The following is a 15,174-nucleotide window of genomic DNA, read 5'->3' as shown; positions in this document are numbered from 1 at the left end:
TTACATTTCACAGGTTGATGATACATTACTGCTTTGGATTTCCCTTCAGTTTCATGGTTCAATCCAATGCCCACGTCTACATTTCTTTCACTGCCTTTATACTGCTGTACAGTTAGACTTCATCTGCTACTCCACACACACACAAATCTCTCCCTACTTCCTCACTCCTCATTTCCTGTTGGGAGCTAAGTTTAAAGCTTCATCCTTCTAGATCTACTCAACATTCCTTTTTAAAAGGTAGAGAACAAGGAACGTAGCAGCTGTGTTCGCTGAGCCATTGAATTCACACTGCCCAGCAGCCCTTGAAAGTCAACTGCAGCGTCCATCAGGGCAAGGACTGACAGTTTGTTTCAACACTGAATATGGTTAGTACCTGGCAAGGAGCAGGAGTTCAATAACTCTTGGCAATAATTCGTCATCATTTTCCCCCTGAAATCCATTTTATTATTCTTTTTTTTTCTTTTCAGGCTAGAGTGCAGTGGTGCGATCTCAGCTCACTGTAACCTCCACCTCCCGGGTTCAAGCGATTCTCCTGCCTCAGCCTCCTGAATAGCTGGGATTACAGGTGCCCATCACCACACCCGGCTAACTTTTGTATTTTTAGTAGAGATAGAGTTTCGCCACGTTGGCCAGGCTGGTCTCGAACGCCTGATCTCAGGTGATCCACCTGCCTCAGCCTCCCAAAGTGCTAGGATTACAGGCGTAAGCCACTGCATCTGGCCCGTTTTATTCTTTTATTCTCAAATTATTCTCTCTACAGGACAAGAGAAGGTTTAAAAATCACTGAATCATGATTTTAGGGAAATATTCAACCTAAAAGGCAGGGCCAAAATCTCAAAGGGTCCCAAATTTATCCCAACAGCCAAAGTTCCTCCTCCTCCTCTTTCTCCTTCTTTTCCTACTCCTGTTTTTCTTCTTCTTCATATCTTGAACCACATGACAAGAAAAAAAAATCTAGACTCTTTACCTATATTAATTAATTTACTCTTCATGAAAACCACATAAGGTAGTTACTATATTATGTCCATTTTTACAGACGAGGAAACAAACGATTGTGTTGCCTGCCAAAGATCAGCACACAACTGAGAAGCTGCAAATCCAGGATTTGAACTCAGGCCATCTCACTCTAGAATGTCAGCTCCTAGCTGCCCTGCATACTATGTCCTGAAGGAGAGCTCTTAAGAAGGCCAACTGAAGCCTATGGGGAACAGTATCCTGGTCATTCATTTCCCAAATTGTTATTGAGTGTCTACTATATACCAGGTGCAGGGAATACCCCCAACAGCCATGGTCACTGTTCCTGTCTAGTCAACATTCCTGTTGCTTTCCTAATTGCCATTTGTTATAGCTCCCAGAGAGTAAGCATGCTGAATCCATTAGAAAAGGAAACTCAAGAGTGAGTTCTTCTTCCATATCTTTATCCTTTAAACTTTATTATAGAGAACAATTGCCACTCCTCTCAGCATTAGTTGGGACTCCAGCAAGAACCAGCTAGGACTATGTATCAGCCTGGAATGCATAGTTACAGAACTAAATGGAAATGGGAAAATGAATACAACGGTGTTAGGAAGTCCCTCTCTGCCCGATGATTAGATTGAGGAGATGTATTGGCAGCTGTAAGGAGGGTGGCTTATTCTTGCCCCTTCTTCCCTTGGGAAGGTCTTCAAAATTGGAGGAGTTATGGCTGCCCAGTCACCTTCTAGTCACCTTACAGAGAGAGCAGGAGAGCAGAGTGGCACATACCCTCAGGCAGGATTCCTGAGTCAAAGGCTGGCTGCTGACACTTGCAGCCTCTCGGTTTTATTTGACCTTCACCTTGTGCGGAACCCACCCGCGCAGCACAGGACAAACCCCTTCTCCCGGGACTGCTGAATCAGCCACTCTGGGAGTGGCAGGAGAGAAGTTTCAGACTCCTGAGACATTTGGTCTATTCAGCACCATGAAGAAAACGGCTGTAGCTCAGTGAGAGAATCACAATCAGGAGCTGGCTGAATAAAGGTGATAAAAATAGATTTCCCGACTCCACAAAGATGAATCATTTTGCCATAGGGATTCGCCAGGCTCTGTTTCAACCTGATTTTCAACCCAGCCTCATAAATTTGGCTAAGGAAAATTTTCTTCCCCTAGATAACCAGTGCCATGGAACGTTTAGCATTCAGACGGGTCTGACGGGATTTTATGAGACAATTGTCCAGAAATAACCCCCATTCCTTTCCCGGCCTGCAGTAAATAGTGACTATGAAGGACAAGGACTAAGTGGGCAAGGCTGGAGATGCAGCCCTTCCCTCCAGACTCCTCCCTGCCTCCCCAATGTCTTCCTTGCTTCTTTTCCTCCTCATTTTAAGAAATGGAAGTTTTTAAAAAGCAAAGGGGGCTGTGGAGTCAGGAGCAGAATGTGACAGGGGCTCAGGTGAAGCAGCCCCACCATGAATGCAGCCACATCTCCCCCACAACACCATGTGCTGCTGGACCACATCTTAAAAATGCAGCCAAGTTGCTTCTCATTCTCAAAATTCTCAAAAATCCTTTTTATTTTGACTAAACTAATGGAGTTATGTGTCTTGTACCACATACCGGAAAATAAAAAACAATGCTTTCCTTAGGGAATTAAAAAAAAAAAAAAGCTTAATTAAAAGCAACAGGTGCTAACAGTTATCAAAGGACAAGATGAATCCACAGGAAAGTAATTTTCATATTATTTTCGCCATACTAATAAGTGAATAAAAAGTCACTTTTTTTTAAACCAAGTATTAAAGTCTAAATAGCTTCCTTCTTTCCATCATGGATACCCCTAAGCATGTATTTCTTTTATAATGAATTTTACTTACCCCCACACGTCCTCATGCTCCGCAATGAACTCCAGCCAACCCACTCTGGGAGATGGGAGGGGCATCTCTCCTGTGTGCTCCTCGTCAGCCCCAGCACAGCAGCCGAAATGCCCTTACATTTCCTTTCCCAAAACAGTCGTCACCACTGCCAACCCCTGCTCTGTCCACAAGCAGGCTGCTGCGGCTGAAATGCTGATGCAGTGAAAGGGAACTGGAAGACAGCTGATTGCCACACCTATTGGAGAGGGAGGCGGAGAAGCCCATTCCCTCTGAGGAAAAGGAATGGCATCTTCAGAAGTAGAGATGCCAGGATTGGAATTGTGCAGAGAGCTTTGTGTCAGCCACTAGCACACAGTAGGTTTGCAGTACTGTCAGGAAATCTGGATCTAGAAAAAGCACCCAAGTGGGACCCGAGGAACAAAGACTCACTCCAGTCCCAACTCTGGAACAAAGTTGCTGCCTGACTCCAGGCAAGTCACTGCCTTCTGGTCTCAGTTTCCTTATTTGTAAAATAACAATGTTTCAAAAAGTAAATCTCTAAGTGGCTTCTAGTTCTGGGATTCTAAGACCATCCTAATGTTCATGAGCATAATAAAAAGTAAACTACCATTTATTGAAAACATCCTGTGTACCATCCATCATATTAGGTATTTTATGTATATCATCTCATTTAATCCCACAATGCTGAGATGGGATTTATCAACCCCATCTTATAGATGAGGAAACTGGCAAACTCACTCCATGAATCCCCATGAAAAAAAAGGATCATCATATTCCTTCAGTGTTTTGAATTTAAATGGAGGCATTCAATCTTTGTGCCTGAAATTGAGATGACATCTGAGAATGGAATTTCTGCACTGCTGGGAGATTAATGTGTTTACAGTCCTCTGCTGGTATAATTCTGAGGTACTAGTATTTATGGTTATGGCTGTTCATGCTACTGCAAAATCCATTTTCCACCTGTTGCTTTTTATTAAACCTCCCTAAAGGACATGAACTATTTCTTTCTGCAGATTCTAAAAGCAGGATGCTGAAATATGTGAGCAGAAGCATCGTGTGCGGAGTTACCATTTGGAATTTTCAAATGCTATAAAACACAATGTTTACAACCAATTCATCATTTATAAAAGTTTATTGGATTAATATGCCAATGGACTCACTGGTATCCTGCCATTTATTGACACAAATACATCAAGTGGTAGGCTGACATTTAATATTTATTAATAACTTCTGTATTTCCTTACCTATTTCATAGTTTCCTTGCATTATGCTCTTTTATCTTTATTGTCATTCATCCTACTTTAAGTGAACTTTTTATTTTAGAATAGTTTTTAGATTTATAGAAAGCTACAAAGATAATATGCAGAGTTTCAGTATAACTCATGTCTTACATCTTACATTCCTATGGTACATCTACATTTATCACAGTTAAGAAATAAACACTGGTACACTACTATTAACTAAATCCATGTTTTATTTGGATTTCATTAGTTTTTCCCTAATATGCTCTTTCTGTTTTAAGATCCCATCTATAATGCCATATAATATTTAATCATTATGTCTCCTTAACTTTTTCTGGACTTTCCTTGTTTCTCAGATATGCCTTGCTTTTGATGGCCTTGACAGTTTTGAAGAATACTGGTCGGGTATTTTGTAGAATATCCTTCCATTTAGGTTTGTCTGATATTCTTTCCATGGCTGGGGATATAGGTTTTTGTGAGGAAAAAGTACCATTCTTTTAACACTGAGGGAAAAGAGGAAAAGTACCATTCCTATATAACATTATATCAATCATCCTATTTTTAATGTTATGTTTAAGTTAAATCAAAAACTTAAACTGAATATAGTTAAATTTTAGAAAGGAAAAATTAGATATCAAACTACTCAGAAATCTAGTATTTTATACTGTGGACAGAGCGACAGAGAGGAATTAATTTTTGTACCATTTGAGATGAAGGTAGACCTAACATTCTAGCAGAAAGCCAGCTAATTACAAGAGAGGCGTCTAGCGAGTTCTTTTGAAATGCTTGCCAAGACAAACTTCCTACAAAAACAATCCAGAGGAAGGCACGTTTTAAGAGAAGTGCTGTTTCAGCCTAGCATGGTCTCATACTTCATACATTTGGTGGTATTTTTTTCCTGTTGTCAAACAACCAAATCCCTATAAACCTGGGTTTGGAATACATGCTAAGAATTAGTTCCACAGAAAGTTATCCTCTAGGTAAGCTATAACTATGGAAAAAAAGGAGTCAGACGTCAGCTGAAATATGTATTTCCTGCTATTATATATTTTTTGCTCACAGTTTGTAATTGAAGGTCTATTCCTAAGGGAAAAAAGTGAGGAACTGATGTAATGTCACAAATTCTGCTAAACGCTGTTCAACGAAAGATAAGGGAGAACAAGTGGTTTCTTTCTTCAAAGAATGGCATTTTTTGTTTTTTCGGGAACAGGAAAGGGAAAAAAAAATGAAGTTGGGGAAAAAAAAGCTTTACAGCACTGCTATATATAACCTTCCACCTCTGCAGAGACACAGAATAATTATGGAAACAAATTTGGAAAAATAGTTTGTGGTGGTGCAGAAAGAGGATATTAGACTTCAGCTAGCAAGTCTAGGCATTCAAAACACACGTGAATAAGAATTTAAGGGCTTAGCTGGCTAACCCACTGTTACGAGCTAAATTGTCTCCTCCTCCCTCCCCCAATTCGTATCTTGAACTCCTAACCCGTTCTAACTCAGAATGTGACTGTAGTGACTGTAAGAAGGTAATTAAGTTATATGAGGTCATCTGAGGGGGCCCTAATCCAATACGACAGTGTCCTTATAAAAAGGCAAAATATGGACACAGATACATACAGGGGAAAGACCACGTGAAGATGCAGGGAAAGGCAGCCATCTGGGAGCCAAGGAGACAGGCCTTAGAACAAACCCACTCTGATCACACCTTGATCTCAGACTTCTAACCTACAGAATTGACAAAATAAATTTCTATTATTTAAGCCATCCAATCTGTGGTACTTTGTTATGGCCATCAGAGCAAATTAATATACTCATCTAGTACTAAGAATGAAATATCAGGGGTATAAGAGAGGCTGCAGGGCACAAGATTGGATGGATATGATATCTCAATGAATTGTCAATTATATGAAGATCTTTCTTTTCTTTTCTTTTTTTTTTTTTTTTTTTTTTGTGACAGGGTCCGACTCCCATCACCCAGGCTGGAGTCCAGTGGCACATTCAAAGCTCACTGCAGGCTTGACTTCCCAGGCCCAGGTGATTCTCCTACCTCAGCCTCCTAAGTAGCTGGGACTACAGGCATGCACAACCATGCCTGGCTAATTTTTTGTATTTTTAGTAAAGACAAGATTTTGCCATGTTGCCTAGGCTGGTCTTGAACTCCTGGGCTCAAGCGATCACCTGCCTTAGGCTCCCAAAGTTCTGGGATTATAGGCATGAGCCACTGCACCGGTCTTTCTGTCATGATTTTCAATTCTAAGTGCAATTGCTAATGACTTTTCCTGTAGTCTCAAACTCCTTTTTTCACTCCTTTCTCCATATCCCAGTCCCTGCCAATGTGGATCAAACACTCCAAAGACAATACTATAATTTGGAGGGGGAGGGGAACTTCATAGTGGTTATAGAAAAAAAAAATATGTCTTCATTTATACTGAAGCATAGGATTTAACTTCAAAATAGTCCATCCATTAACCTAGTCCAATTTTTTGTAACTTTTTCCTTGAGTTCCAAACCAGCATTTCTAATAGTCTGCCAGACATCTGCACATGAATATCTTTTAGAGATAGCCAACTCAATATGTCCAAAAGAGAATGCATCTTTTCTTTTGGAGCTCATTTCTCATTCCCATGTTCCCATGATTCCTATTAATGGCATCAGTACCCTCCACACTGCTCAAGTCCAAAATGCAAATGTCATCTTCCTAAAATTATCTGTTGTATTTCATCAGTTCTAAGATGTACACCTTTTTTAACCTCTGAAATAAAGATGCATTTTTTTCATTGCCAGTGTCTTAGCATTGTGTCATCATTGAATTGGCAGCTTTTTTAAATGAGCTATAATTTTTAAAAATGGTGTGTGTCATCATTGATGGCATATTACATTTAGTGAAAAGTAAATCCTGTCTCCTCATCTCTAATCCCACTGCTTCTACTAAGGTTTAAGTGTCCATCCTCTCTCATTTGGACTACTTATCTCCTACTTGACTTTTATTGCTGGTATCTTGCCATAATCAGCTTTCTATACGGCCACCTCAGTTATCTGGAACACGAGATTCCCTTGTTTTCAGTGGCTTTTACTGCACACAAAATGAGTCCAAACACCCCCAGATGGCATTTCTGGTCTCAGCTTACTATTCCTGGTCTAGTTTCCAAGCATGGATTTTCTCAGGGACTCTGCGTCCAGCTGCAGCCACTGGACCCAGTGCAAATAATGCAAATGATAGCCACTTCCAGATAAGACCCAGGTCCTTCTGACTCAGAGCCTTTCTCATTCCATGCCCTGAAGCTAGTTGTTCTTCCTCTAACTCCATGATCTTCACTATTTGTAGACGCCCTGTTCAAATCCCACCCCTTCCAAAGTTCTTAATCACAAATCAAAATTTCTTCCTTGGTCTTTCTTGCATATTATACTTCATTAACATTTCACAGTCTACCTTACATTTGACCTTTCTTCTATATTTGTCTTCTAGAAAGTAGTCTCCTAAAAGGCAGGAATTATGTCTTGAAGTGGATTTTTACTTGGAAGGCAAGAGAGAGAACACATCATCTCTATTTGGTATATATGTGCAGAAGAAAATTAGAAAAAAGTCCTTGGATGTCATGCAAGAAAGGTTAACCAAGGAAAACTGTGTTATCTTTAAAGTCCTATAAGCACAAGGAGCCGGTGTTCAGGAGAATGAGAGATCTATGCCCTGGCTGCTCAATAGACGGATACAACCATTTCATTCATCGGGACAAGCAGCTTCTGAAGAGCTCCCAGAGATCCCTTCCTCCTGGCATTCAGACCCTTGTGGGACCTCCTCCCCTTGAATGTGGGCTGGGCCTAGCAACTTGCTTTTAATTAATAGAATAAGGCAGAACTGACAAAACATCACTTCAGAGATTAGGTTATAAAGGACTGTGACTTCCATCTCACTTGTTGTCTCCCTCCCTTTCTCTTTCTTTCTTTCTCAGGCCCTTCCTGCTTGCTCACTCTGATGATGCAAGCTGCAACCCTGTAAGCTGTTCTATAGAAAGACCCACATGGCAAGTACACAAGGATGGCTTTGGCCAACAGCCTGTGAGGAACTGAATCCTGCCAATATCCACGAGTAAGCTTAGAAACGGAAGTTCTAAGCTCCCTACTCTGGCCTGGAAATGATACTGACCAACACCTTGAATGCAGCCTTGTGAGGGACCCTGAACCAGAGACCCAGCTAAGCCTTGCTCATATTCCTGACCCATGAGAACAATGAGATGATAAATGTTGTTGTTTTAAGCCACTAAGTTCTGGGGTAATTTGTTATAGAGCAATTAATAACTAAAACTCTCACCAAATAAAAGAAAACCAGAAAGGACATAATAATCACAAGATGAGTGAAGGGACAAAAAATTCTTATTAAGTCTTCCCAAATACCCACAAAAGATGCGCAAGGGGACTAACTTATTGGTCTGATCCAAGCACATCAGTGAACAACCAAAAGCCAGCCTGCTCCAGTGGGCATCAGAACTCCCCTTCACCCGGTCCAACCTACAGTGGAGAATGGCTCTTGCCATCTGACACACTTTTATCACTGTATTCACGATGTGGTCAAGCCTTTTGGTGTAGGTCATGAACCATCTGTTGCCCTGGTTTCCGAGTGTGATGTACAAAGTGAGAGATAAATGTTACTTTTGAATGTTACTCGAATGTTACTTTCACTCAGGAAGAGCCTTAAATACGTTTCTGAAGTGTTTGGATTTTATTCCACATTCAGTAGGGAGCCATATAAAATTATGAGAAGATGAGGGACACGAGATGACCTGTACATTTTTTACAAGCTAACTGTAAAGGCTGTTTCAAACAGCAGCACACAAGCCATATCAACCTGGGAGGCAGTAAATAAACTTAGAATCCCCAAGTTCATATTCCACCTTTCAATTGAATGCAGGTGGAATGCACCAAAGACCTCGTGTGTTTTGTTGTTTTTCCCTGCGGTGTGTAGTCTTTCATGGCTAGACCTACTAAAATGCTAACCATCACTCCTATGTTGGCTTGGCTTTGGCATCAAACTTGAGAGCAGCAAATTGAGCATTCCCTCTGTGTGTGGTGTGGGAACGCAACCGAGGTTTCTCATACTGTGCCAGGGATGAGGATAAAGGAAAGTGTGTCATTAAATTCCATTTTGGCTGAGAAACCTCACAATGTCTATTCATTTCCCTCAGTGAATATGCCTTCTTCACACAGAACATCGCTTGGCTACCAGTTTTTACTTGTTCCCCTAAAGAAGGGGAGGACGACCCCTGGAGACTCCGGATCGTACCATGCAACTACTACAGAGAACACAGAGTAGCAGGAAAAACACATGAGGGTTTTTATTCCAAGCCCTTCCTTCTCCCCTACCCATGAAGGAGAATTCTGTCTTCCTGTCTCTGAGTCTTTGTTGTCCAGAATCAGAATCAGGGGCAAAAGGAGCCGAGTCTAGCTGGATTGATTTGCACTGGAAAGAGCTAACCATTAGTCATAGCAGACAAAAGGGTAAGAAGCAAGGAAGGCAAGAACTAGCACAGTGTGAGGCTCAAAGATTTGAGGTCACTGGGCATAGAGAGGTTTGGGAGAGTTGGCAAGTATAAGGTGTGTATGTGTGTGTGTGTGTGTGTGTGTGTGTGTGTGTGTGTGTGTGACAGAGAAAGACTGTAGAAGAGAAAGAGAGGAGGGCATTTTAGGTAATTCTGCTGCATATTATGAATAAAATCACTCTGACTTTTTTTTTAAGACTCCAGTAAAGAATTCTAATGCTTTCCTATGATCACTTGTTAGGTATGGCCACATGAAGCCTGATTTGATAGTGGCCATGGTAGAAACATTACATGTAGCAGTGCCTTTTTCAAAAAGGCCACTTCCTCAATTTGGTTGAATTAATAAATTTTAAATGAGAGAGTCTGATTTCTAACAACTTAGGTCTCCTTAGAGGTTGATGTCTCCAAACAAATGTTCGGAAAGTGTTGAGATTCAATTCTATATCCTAGGGTCTAATGGAGAGAGTATAACACAGTAGAAAAGGCACAGATGTAGAGTTGGGCAAACCCAGGTTCAAGTACCAACTCTGCCTCTTATTAGTTGGAAAGCTGGTGACATTTCTTTGAACTTTAGAGTAAAGATACAGCAATAACAACATCACAGGTGTGTTGTAAAGATTAGGAAGGATGATCTAGCACTGCACCTGGGGCAGGGTAGGAATGTGATACGTGATGGTTATCACTGTGGTAACTTTCACCTCTAACCTCCCTCTTCCCTGCCTTGCCTGCTTCCTGGCCAAAAAAAAAAAAAAAAAAAAATTTTTTTTTTTTTTTTTTTTTTTTTAGGCGGGGTTTCGCTCTTGTAGCCCCGGCTGGAGTGCAATGGCACAATCTCGGCTCACTGCCTGGGTTCAAGCAATTCTCCTGCCTTAGCCTCCCAAGTAGCTGGGATTACGGGCACACACCACCATGCCAGGCTAATTTTTGTACTTTTAGTAGAGACAGGGTTTCACCATGTTGGCCAGGCTAATCTCGAACTCCTGACCTCAGGTGATCTGCATGCCTTGGCCTCCCAAAGTGCTGGGATTACAGGCATGAGCCACCATGCCTGGCCAAAAAACAACAATTTTAACTGGAGGAGAGACCGAGCCCGGAGAACAGAACTTTAACCAGTTTTTTCTAAGGTAATCTATAAGATAAACCACTGGAGGGAAGGTAAAGTTCTAGAAGAGAAGACATTGATCAGGATGAGTTGAGGCACACCAGAGCTAATTCTTAGGAAGGATGTGCAGGAAACCTTTTCTTGACAGCTAGACACCCAAAGCAGTGAGGACCCCAATTTATTGCATTGTTATCCTCCTAAAAAGATGAAGTCTGCATAAAGGCTTTTCACTCATACTACTCAGGTTAACAGCCTTGTATGTCTAGTTTTGTCCAAAACAATATTTTTAATCTTCTCATAATGTGGAAATCACTACAGCTCTTTCATCACTTCCCCTACTCTGATCTCACTCGATGAAATGGCAACTGTTCTGATGTCAGTTTTCATAAACTAAAGCAGATAACTTTTGAAAGCTTCCTAAAGTCTAAAGAACTTATGGAAACTTACATTTTTTTCCATGGCAGGAAGCTCTAACCATATTTGAAATCTTATCTTTGATTAGAGAAAAGTACATCCTTTTCCCCAAAATGCGTTTCTGAGTGGGTTAGGGTTACTGAATGGTAGGATCATCTGACCAGTCACATTCCTGCTTCTGCTTCTGACCTTCAGCTAGCGTCAAATTTCCATCGTTCATCAGGCTAAGAAGTGATACATGAAGTAAGGCCTTTCACAGAGCTCAGAAAGATATTTTGTAGGTATTGGCCGACAGAAAGAAAAAAAAGAGATGAACTTAAAAAATGAGTTTTTGCCTTCCTCTCTTTTTCAAAAAAGGTAAAATAAAATGTCATTAAAATGTGTCCCATCTTCAACTGGGAACAGTGTATATGTAATAACCAAGGAGAGGGGTGGCCAGGGCTCGGGATCCATCTCATCTTTTACTGTTTGTCTAATGTGGGGCAAATAATTTCCCTTTATGGACCCACATGTCCTCATCTGCAAAACAAACACATCTAAGATGTCCTTCTAAGATACATCTAAGACGTAAAATTGTCTTTTCCTCAGATCACTTTTATCCTTACAGACCCATGGAAAAATCAAACAGTATTTCATGACAACTCTAAGAAGGTTCAGCACTCAGGGGCAGAATCCGCAAATATCACCTATTTCCAATTATACTTCACATGTGCATATGTGCACACACGACGGCTGTCACAATTCAAATCTGTGCAAGAAAAGGCTTAATCCCCAAACTCCTATCATAAGCAAAGATTTCATACATTCATGGCTTTTGCACAAAACCTAAAGCTCCTGGGATGAAACAACATTTAGCATGATCTCTGATGACCACTAAATTGAGTTTCAAGATGTGGCTCGATAGTACAATACTGATGAGCTAGCAGACTGAAGTGCAGCATTTTAAAAAAAAACCTTTGGTATGCCAAGACCTAAATTTGAGGACTTTCTCTCTGGCAGCAGCAAACAGTATCACTAACACCTAAAAGAGAATGCAAGCATCTGCAGGCAGTCACCACACGGCTTCATATGTCAGCAATCGTTGCAGAAGAAATGCAGACCCGGATTCAGGGTCTTTGCATTCTTGCCAGGAAATGATTTTCAACTACTTTGTTTTAACACCTTCACCCCTGAATTCTTTGTAACCACAGCTTAACTCAGGGGCTAAAATACACCTATTCATGCCTTTGTAAATCTACATATGTTTATAATTTGATATTGCTATGTGAAAACACACTTTTTTATTTATCTTCAAGTCAAGCAGCTGGGCCATCTTAATGGATTGGCTTCTCAACACTAGCCCATTAAGACACACGGGCATGGCTTCCAGGCATAGAAAACCCTCTGGCCACACTTCTCAGATCTCTATGGCCCCTGCTACTATGGACTTCTTGATCAACAGACGGTCAGTGGCCTGTCAACCCCTGACAAAGTGAAAAAACCAACCTGATGTATTCAGAAGTATTTCAGGGATTTTTCTATCTGCCCTTTCCTGACTGTCATGAATATTTGGAAGAAGAAAATATTGTTTGAAAAATACCCTCACACAAAGGCTGCATCTCTACTAACAAGATGATCTCTGCCATCTTCAAACCCATTAATTATTTGAGGTTTCCTATGTCTCCCCTGAAAATAAGAGAATTAATGTATTTTAATCCTCAACTTTTTATATTGAAAAATTTCAAACCTACCAAAAGGTTGCAAGAATAGTACCATGACCCCCGTACGCCCTTTATCTAGAGACAGTATTTTGCCACATTTCCACCCTTCCTCCCTTTCTTCCTCTCTCCCTTCCTTCCTTCCTTTCCTTCCTTCTTATCTCTATGTGTATATGAAATTATATATTATGTACCCAGACTTTTTTGCTAAACATATTGAGGATTGGTTGTATACATGACATTTCATTTCAAAATACTCCAGCATATATATTTGCCATCTAAGATCAATAGTATTCTCCTATATACACAAAGATAGCTATCGCATACAGGAAATCCAACACTGAGAGAATACTATTATCTAATACTCAATTTATATTCAAATTTCCCTAATTGTCTCAATAATGTCTATTATAGTTGCGTTTTCCCAACTAAGGATCATGCACTGTATGAGGCTGTCATATTTCCTTAGTCATCTTTAATCTACGACAGTTTTCCAGCCTTTTGGGGATGGGGCAGTTTTTTTTTTTTTTTTTTTTTTTTTTTGAGACGGAGTCTCGCTCTGTCGCCCAGGCTGGAGTGCAGTGGCGCAATCTTGGCTCACTGCAAGCTCCGCCTCCCGGGTTCACGCCATTCTCCTGCCTCAGCCTCCTGAGTAGCTGGGACTACAGGCGCCCACCACCGCGCCTGGCTAATTTTTTGTATTTTTAGTAGAGACGGAGTTTTACCGTGGTCGCAATCTCCTGACATCGTGATCCGCCCGCCTCGGCCTCCCAAAGTGCTGGGATTACAGGCGTGAGCCACCACCACGCCCGGCCGAGGACGGGGCAGTATTTTTAATGACGCTGACAGTGGTGAAGAGGACAGGCCAGCTGTTTTGCAGTATGTCCCTTAATGTGGATTTGTCGTATTGTTTCCTGAGAACTGCTGTGATTTCTTAGTGCATCACCAGGACATCTAACATCATTTGGACCCATTATAGATATCGGTAAGTTTGATCATGGCCAACTACTTAAAGACATAGTGTCTTGACATGAATACGAAACCACTTGCAGGCCTTTAATTTCAAACTGTTAACCATAGTTATTCAAAATCTTACTTTCCAAAATATATTTCAGAACAGAGCTACTTTTATCTCTCTCGAGTATTAACTCATTTTCTCCTATACCAGGGGATATTCTCTGTATTCTATAATAAAAGATCATAATGGACTATAAATACTAAAGGTTTCACAAAGGAGGCTGTTTTGCATTAGATCTTTAGTTTTATTTAATTTATTTTATTTTTTAACTTAAAAGATGTGTTAGTCTGTGTTAGATCTTGATGGACAAATATAATTTTGTCAAGAAGAGCAGGAGGAAAGTATTCAATGAATAACACATATCACAAGAAAAGGCACCATTCATGGGAGTGAAGAGTGTTTGCAGAACTGTGAGTCAACTATTATAGTCCAGGCAAGAGATGAGGATGGCCTGCTCTGGGGCAGTGGCCAAGGAAATGCAGACAAGTAGACAAATGGGAAAATTCTTTGATAGCTGAACTGGTGCAACTGCATGTCTATGATGCCTTCACTTACATTGGGAAATAGGTGCACAGGACTGGTGATGCAAGTCCCATTTGAATATGTTAAGTTTGAGGTGCCAGTAGGATACCGAGATGAAACTGTCCAATAGACAGAACACGAGGTCTGGAGTTCAGGAGAGAGTACTTGATGAGAAATGCTGCTTTGGGTCAATATCATGGAGAGCTGAAGTCATGGACACAGTCAAGAATATGAGCATAGAGAGGGAGGCACAGGCATGACGCGAGAACCGTGGAAGTACATGAACATAACAGGGGGTTGCGGGATGGCGATCTGTTTCCCACCAGGGCCACAAGTGCTCTGGTTTTTGTGGAAATGTTGATCTCAAGGCAACTGGAGCAAAGGAAAAGAGTTTGACCAGGTTTGTAGATTCAGGAGTCACTAGTGAATGGGTTAGTAGGTGACTTTACTTAAGAAAGTATTTTTTTGGACTAAAGATGATAAATTAGTTAAGAAAATATAAATGATACAGGGTGACGGTAAGCAGGGGAGGTGTTCATTGAAAGGGGCAAAAAAAAAAAAAAAGCGATAGCAAGGACAAAGTGAAAAGGAAATCCAAATGAAAAAAGAAAGTAGAGGAATACTAGTCAAGAACATAAATAGAAGGAAAGAAGATGAGGTCACCTTGTCTTCTTGTATCAAGTTGCCCAAATGCTCCAAGACAGAGGCAATATGTGAGAAACAACATTTGATCCATGATAGGAAATAATATAAAGACAAATGCATGTGCCCCTAACAGTTAATTTTACTAAAATTATTTATGATTTCCATTTTAAATTGAG

At 40.7% G+C, this 15,174-nt stretch overlaps 1 protein-coding gene across 41 annotated transcripts in view; it reads right to left on the bottom strand.

Moving 5' to 3' along the window:
• LIMCH1 (LIM and calponin homology domains 1) overlaps positions 1-15,174 on the bottom strand; it is a 340,438-nt gene that overhangs the window by 158,866 nt on the left and 166,398 nt on the right. For 2 of the 41 annotated variants that reach the window (NM_001330672.2, NM_001330786.2), the window contains exon 1: positions 2,829-3,022. The exons of the other annotated variants lie outside the window; for them this stretch is intronic. The gene's annotated coding sequence lies outside the window, so the exon portion shown is untranslated. Of the gene's footprint in view, positions 1-2,828; positions 3,023-15,174 lie in introns of those variants that run through there. 41 annotated transcript variants of the gene reach the window in all.

The sequence above is a fragment of the Homo sapiens genome, chromosome 4 (genome assembly GCF_000001405.40).
Source record: "Homo sapiens chromosome 4, GRCh38.p14 Primary Assembly".
Lineage (NCBI taxonomy): Eukaryota > Metazoa > Chordata > Mammalia > Primates > Hominidae > Homo > Homo sapiens.
Note: the sequence above shows the minus strand (reverse complement) of the source record. Positions and strands in the feature narration are given on the sequence as shown.